We start from the raw sequence: 19,678 nt of genomic DNA, 5'->3' as shown, positions 1-19,678 counted from the left end.
AGAATGGCGTGAACCTGGGAGGCGGAGCTTGCAGTGAGCCGAGATCATGCCACTGCACTCCAGCCTGGGCGACAGAGCGAGACTCCGTCTCAGAAAAAAAAAAAAAAAAAAAAAAAAAAAATATATATATATATATATATATATATATATATATAGCTCCACCCCACCCCGCTGTCTGACTCTTAATTTTTTGTACTTTGAATAATTTCATTGTGAATATGACTTGTAGTCTGTATGATTTCTTCAGTCATACCTGCACACACAAGTTCAGTGTTTGAATTTACAAATTTAAATAAAATTCTTGATATCACAAATTGTGTTTTTTTTGTAGTGAGGATGAGGATGATGACCTTCAGTATGCCGATCATGATTATGAAGTACCACAACAAAAAGGACTGAAGAAACTCTGGAACAGAGTAAAATGGACAAGGGACGAGGTAATTATCTGACAAGGTTTCATAGTTTCTTACATGTATTTATTGGTTAATACTGCTATAGTTATACGGCCAGGTGTGGTGGCTCACGCCTGTAATCCCAGCCCTTTGGGAGGCCGAGATGGGCGGATCACTTGAGGTTAGGAGTTCAAGACCAGCCTGGCCAACATGATGAAACCCCGTCTCTACTAAAATACAAAAATTAGCCTGGTATGGTGGCGCATGTCTGTAATCCTAATCCTACTTGGGAGGCTGAGGCAGGAGGATCACTTGAACCTGGGAGGCAGAGGGTTGCAGTGAGCCGAGATTGCACCACTGCACTCCAGCCTGGGTGACAGAGCGAGACTCCATCTCAAAAACAAAAAAAAAATGCTGCTATAGTTATGAAAGATATTTAAAAACAAAATATGAGAAAAGATATGCATCAAATTAACTGTACGTTCTTTTTCTTCAACCAGAGACATGAATAACTGATGACATTGGAACTTAGAGAAACAGTATAATAAATGGAAGAATTTGTATTATAGTGGGTGGCTTTAGTTATTCTATGGTTACCAGATATTCCTTAATAGAATTGGAGAGTTATCTATATTTAGGGGTAGAGGAAAAGGACGGGGGGAAAGCTTTCTAATTTTTGTACTGTTTTAATAGGATGATAAATTAAAGAAGTTGGTTGAACAACATGGAACTGATGATTGGACTCTAATTGCTAGTCATCTTCAAGTAAGTGAAATATTAAATTATATTTCTAACATGGCTGGTTTAAGGCATTGGGTTAAATTTGCTATTTTTCAAAAATGTGTCTACATATTTTAATTTTAGGTTTCCTTCCTAAAAACATCCCTGTTGGTTTGGTCTGCCTCTAGTTGGTTGCTAATGGCTTGGAGAGTCTGGTTTAGAGTCTGGTTTTCTAGTAATGCGTTTATCCAGGGGCCTAAAAAGATTATTAACTTAAAACAAAAATGATAATAAATGTATGTGGGACCTTATAAATATTTGCTAATACACGTTAAAACATTCTGTGAGAAATATATTGAGATATTTGATAGCTAACCAAAAAATCCAGAAAAGCCCTATTAAAAAAAGCTTATCATCTGAGGCTTACCTTTTAAAATGTTGATTTTAAAAACTATTATGCCTATTGTTTACCATACTACTATTCACCTGCTGTTCGTTATATAACTTTATAATTTATGAAGTATTTTCACATGTACTCTTTTTTTTTTTTTTTTTTTTTTTTTTTGAGACGGAGTTTCGCTCTTGTTGCCCAGTCTGGAGGGCAATGGCACGATCTCGGCTCACTGCAACCTCCGCCTCCCAGATTCAAGCGATTCTCCTGCCTCAGCCTCCCGAGTAGCTGGGATTACAGGCATGAACCACCACATCCGTCTAACTTTTTGTATTTTTTTTTTAGTAGAGACGGGGTTTCTCCATGTTGGTCAGGCTGGTCTCAAACTCCCGACCTCAGGTGATCTAACTGCCTCGGCCTCCCAGAGTGCTGGGATTACAGGCGTGAGTTACCGCGCCTGGTCCTCACATATGCTCTTATTTGTATCCTTAATACACTGTGAGTAGTGAGGGAAAATATACATATTTGAATTTAAATATTGACTACTTTGGGTTTCAGAAACCATGTTAACTATGTTTTTTCTATATTGTCATATGACTTTCAACATAACCCAAAAATTGAGATCAAGTAATGGAAAGAGCATAAATTTTGGAGTCAGTTTGAATTATGTTCAAATGTCAGCTCCATGAGCGTGGAAAAATTACTTAGCCTCTTTGATTGTCACCTTCCTTATCTATAATGTCTAGATAATCATACTTGTTTCTGTAGTATGGTTGTGTAGAACTAGAAATAACATATAGGATGTTTGGCACAATTCTTAATATTTAGCAGGTGTTCAATAAATGGAAGCTAGGTTAGAAAAGTTATTTACATTAGCATTAACAGAAATGCTACAAGGACATACAGGAGCAACCTGATTATTTTGAAGAAAGTGTCAGCCTTAAAATGGATTAGCGTTGGTGTACAGAAGCCATAAATGAAGCTGAGTTTGAATAAAAATAATTTTAAGTACATTGGGCAAAAGAGCCATTGGTAGACAAAACATTTTTATCTGTCCCTTTATATGTCTCTAGATTTTCTGTAATCTTGCTTATGAACTAACAATTTTGTAAACTGTGAATCACTAATAAAGTGTTAGGTGTCATTATCCTTGTAATGTATAGGAGTTACCAGGTTCTGGACTGACTAAAATAAGGCTTCATTTATTATTTTTGGAGTTTGAGATGTTTCTACCCAGATACTGCGTAGGATTTCTTATTCTGGTGAATTCATTTTCTTTTTAAGTGTCAACACTTAACCAATTTAGTGAATTCATTTTCTTTTTAAGTGTCAACACTTAACCAATTTAATTGAAATGTAACATTCATCTTCTATGTAGACTATGTAATGTTTTCTTAATAACTTGGAATCATAATTTATAACATCCTTTTGATCCTATGCAGTAGTATAGCAATGCCTTTACATTTCTTTAAAACTGTATAGTTAGGTACTGCTGAACTACGTGAATCCAGACTGATAGGCTATTTGAGTTCTTTTTCTTTTTTTTTTTTGAGATGAGAGTTTCGCTCTTGTTGCCTAGGTTGGAATGCAATGGTGCAATCTCGGCTCACCGCAACCTCCACCTCCTGGGTTCAAGCAATTCTTCTGCCTCAGCCTTATGAGTAGCTGGGATTACAGGCATGCACCACCACATCCGGCTAATTTTGTATTTTTAGTAGAGACGGGGTTTCTCCATGTTGGTCAGGCTGGTCTCGAACTCCAGACCTCAGGTGATCCACCCACCTCGGCCTCCGAAAGTGTTGGGATTACAGGCATGAGCCACTGCGCCTGGCACTATTTGAGTTCTTATGTCAGCTTTGTGTAGTTTTCTGTCCACTGCTTTTTATTCCTCAGTGTTAAATCCATTTCTTTATTTCAGTTATCTGTGTTTTATCTTTGCTGCTTCTGTATTATAAGGTGTAGTGTAAAGATACACACTTTAGTTTTAAATAAATTGTTTTTATTTGTAGTCTAAGCCCTGTTGACTACTATAATTAAGAAAAAACATAATTGGGGCAGAGATATGTAACATAAATGTTACATGTTTAAAGAATGCTATTGAATACACTATTCTTGAAGTCTTTGTTCTAAGGATGTGAGACATAAATTCGGGCTGACTTGCTTTCTGGAAGACAGTTGTTTAATAACAAAATCTTCTAAATTTTTTCAGAATCGCTCTGATTTTCAGTGCCAGCATCGATGGCAGAAAGTTTTAAATCCTGAATTGATAAAGGGTCCTTGGACTAAAGAAGAAGATCAGAGGGTAATGTGTTCATATTCTTTATATTCACTATGTAGGTAGACTAGCTTTTTTCTTTTTAATGTGTTGTTTTGACATATGAAGTACATGTTTAAGTCACTTTGATTTTGTTCTCCGGAGGCTACTTGCATAAGAATTGAATGTTAAGTGTCTGGAAATGTTGTTGGGTTTTTAGAAAATTGAGTCAAACCAAGTATAACATACAGCCCTTTCTTTCTGAGAGTTTGGTTTGCAGAAGGAAAAATACTTGCTGTAAGGTTAGTTACCTTGTTTTGAGCTCAGTTTCACAACTATTAGGGTATAGTTTTTTGTCAAAAATCTAATTAACATTTTAAAACAGATTTTCATTTTATTTTTACATCTAATAACTTGATATGCACGGAAGTCATTCTTAACTTTTTCTCTTAACCTATAATGAGTCCCAGGATTAGACAGATGTCAGAGCATCATGTTTCCAAAGGTTTTGTGATTTAAAAACCAAGGTCATTGTTTGTACTATGAAGTTGGAGATGAATAGAAGTGTTTCTGCACTCTTTAGTTAATGCCCTTTAAGTCATAAAGGTTGCTAATGCAGTTGAGGAATTAGAGCATCCTTACTCCTGCTCAAAACAAACTTTATTTGTTGTTCTTATTTTTTAAATTTTTTAAATAAGTAGAGATGGAATCTCGCTATGTTGCCCAGGCTGGTCTTGAACTCCTGGGCTCAAGCAATCTGCCCATCTTGGCCACTCAAAATGCTGGGATTAGAGGCTGAGCCATCATGCCCAGCCAGAACAAACTTTAAAGTTACTTCACCTAGACTGCACTGATTTACTTGATGGCTACTCCTAAGTTTTAAAATGTGTGATCTTGTTTAAAAATGCATTTACCAAAGCCTGAAATTTTAGTTTTAAAGATAGTAAATAGACACATATAGTGAAAATATCAACATATATTAAACTTAGTCTACCAATATAAAATGTTTATGAGATGATATTTGACATAGGGCAGTGAGGTAAAGTGGGCTGGAATAACTATTCTTGCAATTTTAGGTGAAATAAAAACAACTGTAAAATGTGGAAAAAAGAATATGTAATCTGTGTCCTTTCAGTTTGAGAAAGGAAGAAATGACAACCAATAACTTGGTAGAATCTTTCTGCTTCCTAATTGTATTTTTGTTTTTTGCTTTTGGCTGAAGCGTTTTTTTTTTTTTTTTTTTTTTTTTTAGATGTAGGAGTAGAAAATGTACAAGTTTCAGCATGTTTACAGTTATTTCAAATTAATAGGGTGTGAAAGCAATTGAATTTCAAGAGTCTTTAATTAGCCCCTTGGATTTTTAGATGAGTTTGGCATCAATTTTTGAAGCTGGCAAATGCTAAAGGGGTATTTATTGGTAATTTTTTTTTAACAAATTGTAGTTGTGGCTTGGATTTAATGCATTTATTTAAAATGGTATTCTTGAATTATGTTTTAAAATTCTTTGAAGGTAATGCTTTTTTAAACTTTGTTTTTCTGTTTCCTAGGTTATTGAATTAGTTCAGAAATATGGGCCAAAAAGATGGTCTTTAATTGCAAAACATTTAAAAGGAAGAATAGGCAAGCAGTGTAGAGAAAGATGGCATAATCATCTGAATCCTGAGGTAAAGAAATCTTCCTGGACAGAAGAGGAGGACAGGATCATCTATGAAGCACATAAGCGGTTGGGAAATCGTTGGGCAGAAATTGCCAAACTACTTCCAGGAAGGTGCTTATATAAATGTATATATATTTTTCTGTACTTAAACATGACCTTTATTACCTTACTGTTAAATACATTTGCAAGTCCCCGATGACTTATTTTTTAAATTTGTAATTAAAATGTAGACTATATAACATAAGCAACCTTTGGGACCATTTGTACTAAATTCTGTGGTAAAGGGTATGATTACTTTTTTAATGAATTATTTTATGGCAATAATTTGTACAATAAAATGATAGATTTTAGATTATATAAACATTTAATACACTCCTAAAATCATGTTGACATATCAGTGTCAATCAAGTGAGACCCCCTTTGTATAAACTCTGTTGGAAAAGAATCTAAATCTAAGATTTCTTTCATATTGCGTTCTATGTGTAAGACCAGGGAATGATATGCTAGCTACAGTAAACTGCTATGAAAGTGTGTTGGGGAAAATTCAATCTTAATTAATTATGGTATGATCCAAACCATGGAAGTAGTATATATATTCATGTGGCTAAAATACCAAATTTTCCTCAGAGGCAGTGATGTGCTAAGTACACTCTACATTGTACTGGTTCATATGTTTTCTAATAGCGTTTAGTACAGCAGACCAACAACCTTGTGAAAATTCATAACTTAGAAGATACGCATTTGTCTTTTGTTGCTGTAATCTCTATCTGTATAGTACTTTATAGCATTAAGTGCTTTTTCATGTATTCTTAATTTTTATAGACTTGGAAAGTATACTGAGCAAACATTGCTATCTTTGTTTTATAGATAAGATATTAAGGCATAGTGTTAAATTTTTTATTCAAGTTATTAAACCAGGTCTAGATGCTTTTAATCTCTTATACGTCTTCTTACTTTTCATAGAACCTAGCTTAGTGCCTTAACATTTACTGAAAACCTGCTTTATGTGTGTATATTTTATGAGGGATGAAATTTGCAAGTAACCATAGGTTGAAGATTTTCATTTTTATAAAGGGAACCTTAGATAAGAAGGGAGCCAATTAACTCTTTCTTACCATAAATATTTTGTTCTAAGAAGTGAAAAAGAATACTGGGATTCTTTAGTTTGTGATTTGCTTTTCATGATCATGTTTGTTCCTGGCTTAAGACCTTGGCCCTTGCTATACTCTTTATCTGGAATGCTCTTTTTTTCTTTCTGTTCTCGTATAGCTGGTTTGTTCTAACCAAACCAAAATTACTCCGTTACCCACTTTTCTTATCCTACTTTATTTGCATTGTAGTGAATTTTTTATTCATTTATTTGTTTTTCTATTCTTCCTTCCTTCCCACTCCCACACTTCCAAGGAGAGTGTAAGCTCCACGAGAGCAGTGACCTACTTTGCCTTACTCACTGCAATATTTCTGGTGCTTAGAACTATGCCTGACATATGCACATACAGTTTATCTTTTGAATTTTTAAAAAATACCTATCTTCCTGAGTAGAAACTCCAAAAGAAAAATTAAGAAAAAAGTATCTAATTTCATCAGTGTAAAAATTTGTTTTAAGCACTTTGTACAAGTTAACACAGTGTTGAAATCTGTGGAATCCTTTTTTCTTTTTAAATCATACCTTTCCTTTCTTAGGACTGATAATTCTATCAAAAATCATTGGAATTCTACTATGCGAAGAAAAGTGGAACAGGAGGGCTATTTACAAGATGGAATAAAATCAGAACGATCTTCATCTAAACTTCAACACAAACCTTGTGCAGCTATGGATCATATGCAAACCCAGAATCAGTTTTACATACCTGTTCAGGCACATACTTTTAATACCTTTATTATTTAAAAAATTTTCTTAAGTTGCTATATGGGAAGATGTTTGGTTTCTTAATAGGACAAATACAATGCGTATTAAGGGGTAAATAGACAAACTGAAAAAAATGTGTAACTTTGATTTATAAATATTTTGAGAACAAATTTATTAAAATGTTTCCTTTTATATGTAATTTTTACATCAAGAAACTATGTACATTTCCTAATACTCTGATTCTTTGAATCTTCATTTATGATTCAAAGCTAATGGTCATCTGTGCTTTAACATTCTATTGTACTTTCCATTTAAACAATTTTGGCGTAATTATAGTATTGCTTATCTCTAAGAGGTAGGTATATATAAAATGGCTTAAAAGAGAAAGTAGCAAAAATAAGTAATTGTTTTGGGGGTGTGGTAATTAATTGGATTTTGCTGGCATTCAACTTTGCTTTTCCCCCTAATAACTAATCACTTGGGTAATTTTAGTCTTTGTTTAGATGATTCATTAAAGTAGGTATTACACGAGCTCAAAATGGGGCAAGCTCTATGTTGTCCCTTACAGTGCATTTTTCTACTTGGAAGAAATTAGTGTAGGAGTCTTCATGAGATTTGTTTTACATTTCCCTGTCTACCTGTTATGCCATTTTTCACAATGAGCAATTCTTGGTTCTTGTCACATAAATTGTAAAGATTAAGTCAGGACTTAGTAGTTTTCTACCAAAAGATAAAATTGGGCAAGATATTAAAAATCTGTGCTTACTATGCCTCAGATTTGATTTTTGACATTTTGTGGACATTGTTAAGTTTTTTAAGCATCATTTTAAAAGAACCACTTAGAGTAATGACATTTTCATTAACAATAGGAAAACATGTGAAGACAGTATAATTATCTGCTGATACTCAATACCTTAAGGTTTTTATTATGTTTCTTCACATTTTTCTTTAGAGTCTAGATTTCAGCAGCATAAACTGAAACATTCTGCTTCTGTCTTAGAAAGTTTATCATTTAAATTTATTTTTTTAACTCGTAGAAAGATAATACATGGGGCCAACAGAGTATTTAACAGTCTTAATCTAAATATGTTGGAAAGATGAGGATATTTCTTATACTGTAAGAATTGTTTCCCTTTTAATTTAGATATATTCATTATTCAATTAATTTAAACTAATAAAATAATTTTATTATATGTGTGACTTGATAAAAGAATAGATGGGTTTAAAATACTGTCACAGATTTTCATGAAAAGTTTGGGAAAGATACGTTTCTAATTCATTAGAGTTACCAAGTTGAGCAATAAGTGGTACTAATCGAGTATTCTAAAAGTTAAGCTCTATGTTAGAAGTTATACATAATGATTCTGCATTATATAGTGATTTAGGTAGACCATTACGGAAAGCAGACAATTTCATATTTATGGTTTTTGATTTTAAGGCTTTTTTTTTTTCTTTTTGAGACAGAATCTCTTTCTGTTACCAGGCTGGAATGCAGTGGTGCGCACACAGCTCGCTGCAGCCTCAACCTTCTGGGCTCATGTGATCCTCCTGCTTCGGCCTCCTGAGTAGCTGGGACTACAGGCGTGCTCCACTACACCTGGCTAATTTTTTTATTTTTTGTAAAAACAGGGTCTTGCCATGTTGCCCAGGCTGGTCTTGGACTCCTGGGCTCAAGCGACCATACCCCCTCAGCCTCCCAAAGTGCTGGAATTACAGGGGTGGGCCACTGTACCCGGCCCCGATTTTAAGGCTTTTAAAAACACCTCCTCTCATATTTCTTTCCACTACTGCTTACTAAATTTATATGTATCTTGAAAATTCTTATTACAGATGTTTTAGAAAAGAAGCAGAATGATACTTAGCCTATCATCAGTATATCTATTAAAAGTATGTGAGTGATTCTGATTGTTTTTCTAAGACAAGTAATAGAAGAAGACTTTGGCATGGGGTGGTGATAAAAGTAGGAGATATGAACATTGAAAAACTTGCTTCAGGTCTCTGTCCTTGTGAGTGCTTCATTCATATGGACACATAGGAACACAATTACTTTGTTTTCTTTAGGAGATAGAGCAACCCTTCTAATAGTAGATGTTTAAATATATTTGGTGAATGTCAGATTTAATAAACTGGCTGATAAATCTAGGCTAAGTAATTCTCATATTTCATCTGAAAAAAAGTCTTTTCTAAGTGTTACGACTTTTAATCATAGATTCTAGGAGTGGAGCTGTAGTTATTTAATAGATAAGAAAGTATTATAGGTATAACATTTCAAAATTAATACAGGTACTTTCTAAGTTTTTTATATTGATACTGTGTCAAAAGTTTTTGTCATTTGCTTCAGATTTTCAACATTTATAGCATTATATGTATGATAATAATGCATTAATTACTTTTTAGATCCCTGGGTATCAGTATGTGTCACCTGAAGGCAATTGTATAGAACATGTTCAGCCTACTTCTGCCTTTATTCAGGTAACTTTTATTTATAACGAAAACCAAAGGAAATGTGTTCAGTCACATTTTTAAAAGCCTAATAGTATCTATTTCCTCATCTATTAAACTAGTATAAAAATAATACGATCTGTCCTACTTGGAGTACTCTAACTATAAAGAAGAAAGTGTGTAAGTGAGTTTGAAGAAATATAAACTGTACAAATGTGATTGATGATACCAGTATGGTAGTCATTTCATTCTTTCAAGGTAAAGCATTCAAGTTGGGAATGGACATATTTTTGCTAAATTGTATAGAATATATTTATTAAGATTTAAAAATATAAAATATTTCAGACATACATTTCAGCTGATAGAGATGATGCAACATTTTTTAAGTCATTAAAATTTTCCCAAATCTTTTAAGTTGAAAATATTTGCCAGCACCTCTTTAGATACCAGAGGGATTGTGATAATGAGTAGTTAGTATTTAGTAGCATTAAGCTTTATTAGAAAAAGTATATTTCATGTTGCATAGAAGAAAATAAAAATGAGAATACTAATAATAAAGCAATTATATAAGCATCCTGTTTTCTCTTTTATTTAACTTATTTTAGCAACCCTTCATTGATGAAGATCCTGATAAGGAAAAGAAAATAAAGGAACTTGAGATGCTTCTTATGTCAGCTGAGAATGAAGTTAGAAGAAAGCGAATTCCATCAGTAAGAAATAAGCTTGTTATTTGTATTGTTAGAATCTTTCATATATGCTTTTTGTCATTTTTATCAGCTAGAAAGCATACTCAGTATGACTGCAGATTTTAATATGGAGTAAAAATAGTTTTGTTTTTTTTTAATTTGCAACTTTGAGGTTGCCTGTTTTTTTCTTTTTCTTTTTGAGACAGGGTCTTGCTCTGTCACCCAGGCAGAAATGCAGTGGTGTAATCACTGCTCACTGAAGCCTTGACCTCCTGGGCTCAAATGATGCCCCACCTCAGCCTCTCAAGTAGCTGGGACTACAGGTGCCTGCCACCATGCCTGACAATTTTTTTTTATTTTTGTAGAGATGGGGTTTCACCGTGTTGCTCAGGCTGGTCTCAAACTCCTGGGCTCAAGTGATTCTCCTGCCTTGGCCTCCCAAAGTGCTGGGATTATAGGTGTGAGCCTCTGTGCCTGGCCCAAGGTTGCCTGATTTTGATATGCATTTCTTTGAGCATAATTTACAATGTTCTGTATTAGGATACTTCTTGAGTCATAAATGCAAAGCAGATGTAAAGTAAAATCTTATATATGTGTGTATATATATATAAATATACACACATATATATTTGTGAAAATTATGTGTGTTTAGATTAGGCTTTGGCTTTATTTTAGACATTCCATGTAATGATGGGTTTAATTCTTTTTAAAATAAAGAATTGAATAGATGTAGAGGGATTTATGAGCTCCAAAATTATTTTTATTCTCTTTGAAAATTTTTTCCTATTTACTAGATTTAGAATATGAGTTCAGTAAATTTAAAAAAGTAATAACACTAAAAATATATGGAAAAAGGAACATTTAGATTTTATGCTCTCTAAACAATTCTTCTAAAAGAAGAAATTTTATATAGATGTTGGGTGTTGGTTACCACATGTGAAAACTATTGTGTAAGATTTGGCTGATGAGACTAACTAGGAGTGTTAAGTTAGGATCAAAGGTAATCATTCTAGTAGAATTAAGCAGGTTATGCTAGATTGGTTAAAAGAAAGATACAAGTTTATATTTAAATAACTTTTCTTAGGTTTTTAAATTAAAAAAAAATTTTTTTTTTTTTGAGACAGAGTTTTGCTCTGTTGCCCAGGCTGGAGTGCAGTGGCGTGATCTTGGCTCACTGCAAGCTCCGCCTCCTGGGTTCACGTCATTCTCCTGCCTCAGCCTCTGAGTAGCTGGGACTGCAGGCGCCTGCCACCACTCCCAGCTAATTTTTTATATTTTTAGTAGAGACTAGGTTTCACCGTGTTAGCCAGGATGATCTCGATCTCCTGACCTCGTGATCCTCCTGCCTCAGCCTCCCAAAGTGCTGGGATTAGGGCGTGAGCCACCGCACCTAACCAAATTAAAATTTTTAAATTGGGAAATAATTGTACATATTCGTGGGGTACACAGTGATGTTTCTGTACATGTAATGTATACTGACCAGATCATGGTAATTAGCATATCTATCATCTCAAATTAGTTATAATTTCTCTGTCTTGGGAACATTGAATATCCCTGCTTCTAACTATTTGAAACTATTTAATATTGTTAACTGTAGTCATCCTACAGTGATATAGAACACTAGAACTTGTTCCTTCTATCTAGCTGTGATTTTGTATTCTTTAACATATATTTCCCTGTCCCTCCCTTCATCCTACCCTTCCTTTAAATAACATTTTTAAAAATTTAAAATAATGCCTTGAGCCTTATTATTTTTATTAGTATTAGTATTATTTTTTTTTGAGACAGAGTCTCACTCTCTCACTCAAGCGGGAGTGCAGTGGTGCAATCTTGGCCCTACAAAAAGTTTTTTTTTTTTTTTTGATTAGCTAAGTGTGGTGGTGCACACCTGTGGTCCTAACTACCCAGAAGGCTCCTGGGTTCAAGTGATTCTCCTGCCTCAGCCTCCTGAGTAGCTGGGATTACAGGCATGTACCAACATGCCCGGCTAATTTTTAAAATTGTTTTAGTAGAGATGGCATTTCACCATATTCCCCAGGGTAGTCTTGAACACCTAACCTCAAGTGATTTGCCCACCTTGGCCTCCCAAAGTACTGGGATTACAGACATGAGCCACCATTCCTTGCCCCTTTTTACATTTAGAAAAGGGTTTGTTTGTTTATTTTTTGTTTGGGACTGAATGAGAGGACAGAATATTGAGAGTGACTGGGAACTCAGGCAAAATTACTAAGAAGATAACCTGAGATCTTGAAATAGTATTATGAGGCAACTGGTGATGTCTTTATACTACTTAAGAGGATATTAATAAAAATGATATTTATTGATTATAATAGGCAAGATATATACCATAAGAAAAGCAATTTCTGTTTTTTGTTTTTTTGGGATTTTTTGAGTCAGGGTCTTGGTCTGTTGCCTAGGCTGGAGTGCAGTGGTACGATCATGGCTCACTGCAGCCTCAGCCTCTTAGGTTTAAGCAGTCCTCCCACCTCAGCTTCCTGGGTAGCTAAGACCACAGGTGTGTGCCACCACACTTGGCTAATAAAAAAAAATACTTTTTGTAGAGACGAGATTTCCCTATGTTGCAGTTTCTGTTTTGAAACTGCAAAAACCATGAGCAACTAGGAAGACCTGACATATACTTACCTTAAAGTTAATTTGTTTTGTTAAGAAGCTACAAATAGACTGGGCTTGGTGGCTCATGCCTGTAATCTCAGGACTTTGAGAGGCTGAGGTGGGAGGGTCACTTAAGCCCAGGAGTTTGAGACCAGCCTTGGCAACATAGTGAGACCCCATCTCTACAAAAAATTTAAAAAGAAATAGATAGGCATGGTGGCACATGCCTGTGGCTCCAGCTACTCAGGAGGCTGAGGCAGAAGGATCACTTGAGCCTGGGAGGTCGAGGCTGCAGTCAGCAGTTATCACACCCCTGCACTCCAACCTGGGCAACAGAGCAAGACCCCATCTTAAAAATAAATAAATAAATTAGCCAGGCATGGTGGCACGTGCCTGTAGTCCCAGCTACTCAAAAGGCTGAGGAGGGAGAGGATTGTTTAAGCTCAGGGGTTTGAGGCTGCGGTGAGCTATGATCATATCACTGCACTTCAGCCTGGGTGACAGAGCAAGAACCTGTCTCAAAAAAAAAAAAGCCACAAAGAATTATGGTTAGAGAATCAGCATTTGTAGATGATTATATCATGTTTAAACCATTTTGGATTTTTAATAGAATCTTACCCTTTTTTAATTTAACAGGAAAAATATAACTAAAGGAATGAATATTTTGCATTAAAAAGGAAGAAAGTTATTTTCTTTTTAGAACTCACTATCTAAAATCTGTTCTCATAAAGATTTGGTTGAATAAGTGTATATTCTGAAATCTAGAGGGAAGTTGCTGCAGCCAGTAGAATAGACTCCATACCCATATGAAGCATTTTTTTAATTTCTTTTTGTGTTGGAGTCTTACACTGTCGCCCGGCTGGAGTGCAGTAGCGTGATCTCGGCTCACTGCAACCTCCAACTCCCTGGTTCAAGCGATTCTCCTGCTTCAGCCTCCTGAGTAGCTGAGATTACAGGCATGTGCCACCATACCCAGCTAATTTTTGTGTTATTAGTAGAAACGGGGTTTCATCATGTTGGCCAGGATGGTCTTGATTTCCTGACCTCGTGATCCACCTGCCTTGGCCTCCCAAAGTGTTGGGATTACAGGCATGAGCCACCGTGCCCTCCCTAAAGTTTTTTTTCCTAAACAGTTATGTGACAATATTGACTGCCATTTTACTGAGTATCCATTGAGCTCTACTCTTGTGAATGTTTTATATGTATGCTTGGTAATCCTGATGTTAACTCTGTTAAGTGGGTAGAATTTCATTAGAGAGTTCACATTTAGGGCCGAATGTAGTGACTCAACGCCTGTAATCCCAACACTTTGGGAGGCTGAGGCAGGCAGATTACTTGAGGCCAGGAGTTCGAGACCAGCCTGGGCAACATGGCGAAACCCTGTCTCTGCAAAAAATACAAAAACTAATCAGGTGTGATGGTGCGCTCCTGTAGTCCCAGCTACTTGGGAAGGTGAGGTGGGAGGATCACTTGAGCCTGGGAGGTGGAGTTTGCAGTGAGCTGAGATCGGGCTAGTGCATTCCAGCCTGGACGACAGAGTGAGACCCTGTCTCAAAAAAAAAAAAAAAAAAAAGAGATTCACATTTAGGTCTGTCTGATTGTAACCTATGGTTTTTTCACTGGGCCCAGTTATCGCCCTATTTGTGTGTTGGATCTTTTTCTCACCTGCATACCAACTGAAAGGTATGTGGTTTGGAGGGAACCACGTGTTCCCTCCAGCATGAGAGGAAAACCATGCTGTCTCCTGAAAGTGATTGTCAAGTCAGAAGGTGGCTATGCTAATGAAATGGAAAATAATGAAATGAAATAAGATTACTTTAATTTCTTTTATTTATAAAACACATCGAATTTGCTTTGCAACAGTGTTTTATTACCTTATTTAGGTTGAAATGTAACATTTTATAGTGAATCCCTAGAACATTCTGAAAATTTTTACTTTTAGTAGTAATAGTTACCATTATTCAGTGCTTCCTATAGACTTCCAGTGTGCTGTCTACCATATGGCAGTTACTAGCCACATTTAATTTTAAACAAAACTTAAAATTCAGTTCATTAGTTGCACTAGCCACATATCAGTTGCTTATATGGCTAGTGGCTCCCATATTGAGCAGCTGGAAATATAGAACATTTTCATCATCTCAGAAAGTTTGGAGTTCCCTCCAAACCACATACCTTTCAGTTGGTATGCGGGTGAGAAAAAGATCCAACACACAAAGAGGGCGATAACTGGGCCCCATGAAAAATGCTACACACTTTACATGTTGTTTCTCATTCATAACTCTTCAAGGCCTCTTTTCTTATTTTTTAATTATAAAACACTAGAAAACTAGGCTTGCAAGATAAGTAAATTGCCTAGTGTACATTTCTAAAGAGATAAAGAAAAATGACATAGTCTCTGACTTCAGGTTTTACTCTGCAGTGGGAACCTACACAAGAAACAGGATAGTATATGATAAAATAAGGCACAAGGGTTTTTTTTTTGCTTTTATTATTATTTTTAATTGACACAATAATTGTACATATTTTCTGGGTGTACAGTGTACTATTTTGATACATGTATGCAATGTGTCTTGGTCAAGTCTTGGTAATTAGCATATCCATCACCTCAAACATTTATCATTTCTTTGTGTTGGGAACATTTAAATCCTGCTTTTATAGTTATTTGAAAATATACAACAAGTTGCTGTTAATTATAGTTACCCTATAGTGCTATAGAACACTGGAACTTACTCCTCCTCTCTAGTTGTACTTATATATCCATTAACCAACCTTTGGCTACTCTCCCTTCTCCGCTTCCCTTCCTTGGCTCCCCTTCTTCTCCTCTAGTAGCCACTATTCTTCTCTATACTTCTATGAGATCTACTTTTTTAGCTTCCACATGTAAGTGAGAACCTACAGTGTTTATCTTTCTCTGCCTGGCTTATTTCATTTAACATAATGTCCTCCAACTTCATTTGTGTTGCCACAAATGATAGAATTTCATGTTATTTTTATGGCTAAATAGTATTATGTGGTTATGTGTCTATGTATGTGTGTGTGTATAAATATACAGACACAGCACATTTTCTTGCTTTATTCATCTGTTGATAGGCAATTAGGTTGATTCCATATCTGTGAATAGTGCTATAATAAACATGGAAGTACATATATGATTTTCTTTCCTTTGGATACATACCCAGTAGTGGGATTACTGCATCATATCATAGTCTATTTTTAGTTTTTTGAAGAGCCTCCATAGTGTTTTTGATAATGGCTGTACTAATTTACATTCCTTCCAACAGTAGAGTTCCCCTTTCTCCACATCTTTGCCAGCATCTGTTATTTTTTGTCTTTTTGATAATAGTCATTCTGACAAGGGTGAGATGATATCTCATCGTGGTTTTGATTTGCATTTCCCTGATGACTAGTGATATTGAGCATTTTTTAATATACCCATTGTCCATTTGTATGTTTTCTTTTGAGAAATATTGGTTCAGCTCATTTGCCTATTTTAAGTCAGATTATTGGCTGGGTGCCTTGTCTCATGCTTGTAATTCCAACACTTTGAGAGGCTAAGGTGGGTAGATTGCTTGAGCTCATGAGTTCGAGACCAGCCTGGGCAACATGGTGAAACCCCATCTTTACAAAAAATACAAAACTTAGCCAGGCGTGGTGGTGAGCACCTGTAGTCCCAGCTACTCAGAATGCTGAGGTGGGAGGATGGCTCGAGCCTGGGAGGTGGAGGGTGCAGTGAGCTGGGATGGCACCATTGCAGTGTAGCCTGGGCAACAGAGCCGGACCTTATCTCAAAAAAAAAAAAAAAAAAAAACACCAAAAAACAAAACCCAAACCAGATTATTATTAGTATTTTTTGTTGTTGATTTTTTTGTCTAGTCTAGATATTAATCCTTTGTTGGTTAATAGTTTGCAAATATTTTCTCCCATCCTGTACATCATTTCTCTCTTCATTCTGTTGATTGCCTCCTTTGCTGTGCAGAAGCTTTTTAGTTTAATATAATCCCATTTGTCTATTTTTGCTTTTACTGCCTGTGTTTTTGAGGTCTTCCCCATAAAATTTTTGCCCAAACAATGTCCTAAAACATTTCTCCTATGTTTTCTTTCTTTTTTTGAGACAAAGCTTCATTCTTGTCACCCAGGCTGGAGTGCAGTGGCAGTGGCGCGATCTCGGTTCACTGCAACCTCCGCCTTTTGGAGGTTCTCCTGCCTCAGCCTCCTGAGTAGCTGGGATTACAGGTGCCTGCCACCACGCCCAGCTAATTTTTTGGTATTTTTAGGAGAGACGAGGTTTCACCATGTTGGCCAGGCTGGTCTCGAACTCCTGACCTCAAGTGATCTGCCTGCCTCGGCCTCCCAAAGTGCTGGGATTACAGGCATGAGGCCACTGTGCCCAGCCTTTATGTTTTCTTCTAGTAGTTTTATATTTTGGGTGTTAAATTTAAGTCTTTCATCCATTTTGAATTGATTTTCTTCTTTCACAAAAAAGGAGGTTTTTTTAATATGGTGAGAGATAGGGAGCTAGTTTCATTTTTCTGCATATGGATATCCAGTTTTCCCAGCATTATTTATTGAAGAGACTCTCTCTTCTTCCATCAGTGTTCTTGGTGCCTTTGTTGAGAGTCTGTAAATGCGTGGATTTATTTCTGGGTTATGTATTCTGTTCCAGTACCATGCTGTTTTGGTTACTACAGCTCTATATAGAATATTTGGAAGCGTGTTAGTGTGATGCCTCCAGCTTTGTTTTTGTTTGTTTGTTTGTTTGTTTTTTTGCTCAGGATTACTTTAGCTATTTGTAGTTTTTTAAATGAATTTTAGCATTGTTTTTGCTACTTTTGGGGAGAATGTCGTTGGTATTTTGATAAAGATTGCACTGAACCGTAGATTACTTTTGGTAATATGGTCATTTTCACAATATTAATTCTTCTAATTCTTGAACATGGGAGATCTTTGTATTTTTTCATGTCCTCTTCAATTTTTTTTATCAGTGTTTTGTAGTTTTTCTTGTAGAAATCTTTTACCTTCTTGGTTTAATTTATCCTACGTATTTTATTTTTTTGTAGCTATTGTAAATGGCATTGCTTTCTTGATTTCTTTTTGTGCTAGTTTGTTGTTGGTGTATAGAAACACTACTGATTTATTTTATTTTATTTTTTAATTTTAGAGATGGGGGTCTCGCTATCTTGCCCAGGCTGGTCTTGAACTCCTGACCTCAAGTGATCCTCCTGCTTTGTCCTCCCAAAGTGCTGATATTACAGGCGTGAGCCACCATGCCCAGCCAAAACACGACTGATTTTTTGTGTGTTGATGTTTTGTCCTGCAACATTACCCCATTTGTTTGTCAGTTCTAAGAGTTTTTTTAGAGGAGCTTTATATAGGGTTATAGGGTTTTCTATATATAAGTTCATGTTGTCTGCAAATGGGGACAGTTTGACTTCCTTTTTTCCATTTTGGATGCCTTTTCTTTTTCTCTTGCCTAATTGTTTTGGCTAGGACTTCCAGTACTGTGTTGAATAGAAGTGGTGAAAATGGACATCCTTGTCTCATTTGAGATCTTAGAGAAAAAGCTTTCAACTTTTCCTTGTTCAGTATGATGTTGGCTGTGGTTTTGTCATATATGGCCTTTATTGTGTGTTTTTTCTATAGTTAACTTGTTGAGAGTTTTTATCGTGAAGGGATGTTGATTTTATCAAATGATTTTTCATGTCTATTGAGATAATCTTTATTCTATTGATATTTGATTTTATTTATTGATTTATGTATGTTGAATCATCCTTACATCCCTGGGATAAATTCCATTTGATCTTGGTGAATGTCTTTTTGCATCTATGTTCATCAGGGATATTGGCTTACAGTTTTCTTTATTTGGTTTTGGTATCAGGGTAATGTTGACCTTGTAGAATGAGTTTGGAAAAATTCCTTACTCTTCAGTTTTCTGAGAGAATTGGAAAAGAATTGATAGTTCTTCTTTATATGTTTGGTAGAATTCTGCAATGAAGCCATTGGGTCCTGGGCTTTAATTTTATAGGAGACGTTTTATTGCACATTCAGTCTTGCTACTTGTAATTGGTCTGTTCAGGTTTTCTGTTTCTTCTTGGTTCAATCTTGATAGGTTATATCTATCCAGAAGTTTATCCATTTCTGGTAAGTTTTCTAATTGGATACACAGTTATTCATGATAACCTCTAATGATCCTTTGTATTCCTGTGGTATTAGTTGTAATGTCTCCTTTTTTGTTTCTGATTTTATTTATTTGGGTCTTTTTTTTTTCTTGGTTAGTCTGGCCAGCAGTTTGTCAATTTCGTTTATTTCTTTAAAAAGTCAACTTCTCATTTCATTGATTATTTGTATTTGTTTGTCTCAGTTTTGTTTATTTCTGCTTTGATTTTTATTATTTATTTTCCTCTGCTAGCTTTGGGTTTGGTTTGTTCTTATTTTTCTAGCTACATTGTTTATTTGAAATGTTTCTACTTTTTTGGTGTAGGTATTTATTTCTATAAACTTCCCTTTTGATACTGCTTTTGCTGTATCCCATAGGTGTTGGTATGTTTGTTTCTACTTTTCATTTGTTTCCAGAAATGTTTTGGTTTCCTTCTTAATTTCTTCATTGACCTATTGGTTGTTCAGGAGCATGTTGTTTAATTTCCGTTTACGATTTCAAAAGTTCCTTTTGTTATTGA

General features: G+C 35.3%; 1 protein-coding gene across 10 annotated transcripts in view, besides 2 other annotated features; it reads left to right on the top strand.

Moving 5' to 3' along the window:
* MYBL1 (MYB proto-oncogene like 1) overlaps window positions 1–19,678 on the top strand; it is a 51,044-nt gene that overhangs the window by 10,364 nt on the left and 21,002 nt on the right. For all 10 annotated transcript variants that reach the window (NM_001294282.2, NM_001144755.3, NM_001080416.4 and 7 more), the window contains exons 2-8: window positions 332–437; window positions 1,086–1,157; window positions 3,713–3,805; window positions 5,305–5,525; window positions 7,098–7,272; window positions 9,661–9,735; window positions 10,311–10,415. In NM_001294282.2, the coding sequence (NP_001281211.1) occupies window positions 332–437; window positions 1,086–1,157; window positions 3,713–3,805; window positions 5,305–5,525; window positions 7,098–7,272; window positions 9,661–9,735; window positions 10,311–10,415 (847 nt within the window). The remainder of the gene's footprint in view (window positions 1–331; window positions 438–1,085; window positions 1,158–3,712; window positions 3,806–5,304; window positions 5,526–7,097; window positions 7,273–9,660; window positions 9,736–10,310; window positions 10,416–19,678) is intronic.
* Window positions 10,642–10,800: a silencer, noted in NCBI's record as "fragment chr8:67504290-67504448 (GRCh37/hg19 assembly coordinates)". NCBI's record gives its function as "represses an EF-1alpha promoter that drives an FKBP-Casp9 reporter gene in an ReSE screen in K562 erythroleukemia cells {active_cell/tissue: K562}" and the evidence as "EXISTENCE:reporter gene assay evidence [ECO:0000049][PMID:32094911]".
* Window positions 13,375–13,575: a silencer, noted in NCBI's record as "peak7058 fragment used in MPRA reporter construct". NCBI's record gives its function as "represses an SCP1 promoter by STARR-seq MPRAs in K562 erythroleukemia cells {active_cell/tissue: K562}" and the evidence as "EXISTENCE:reporter gene assay evidence [ECO:0000049][PMID:32103011]".

The sequence above is a fragment of the Homo sapiens genome, chromosome 8 (genome assembly GCF_000001405.40).
Source record: "Homo sapiens chromosome 8, GRCh38.p14 Primary Assembly".
Taxonomy (NCBI): Eukaryota; Metazoa; Chordata; class Mammalia; order Primates; family Hominidae; genus Homo; species Homo sapiens.
This window is presented reverse-complemented; position numbering and strand designations above follow the sequence as displayed.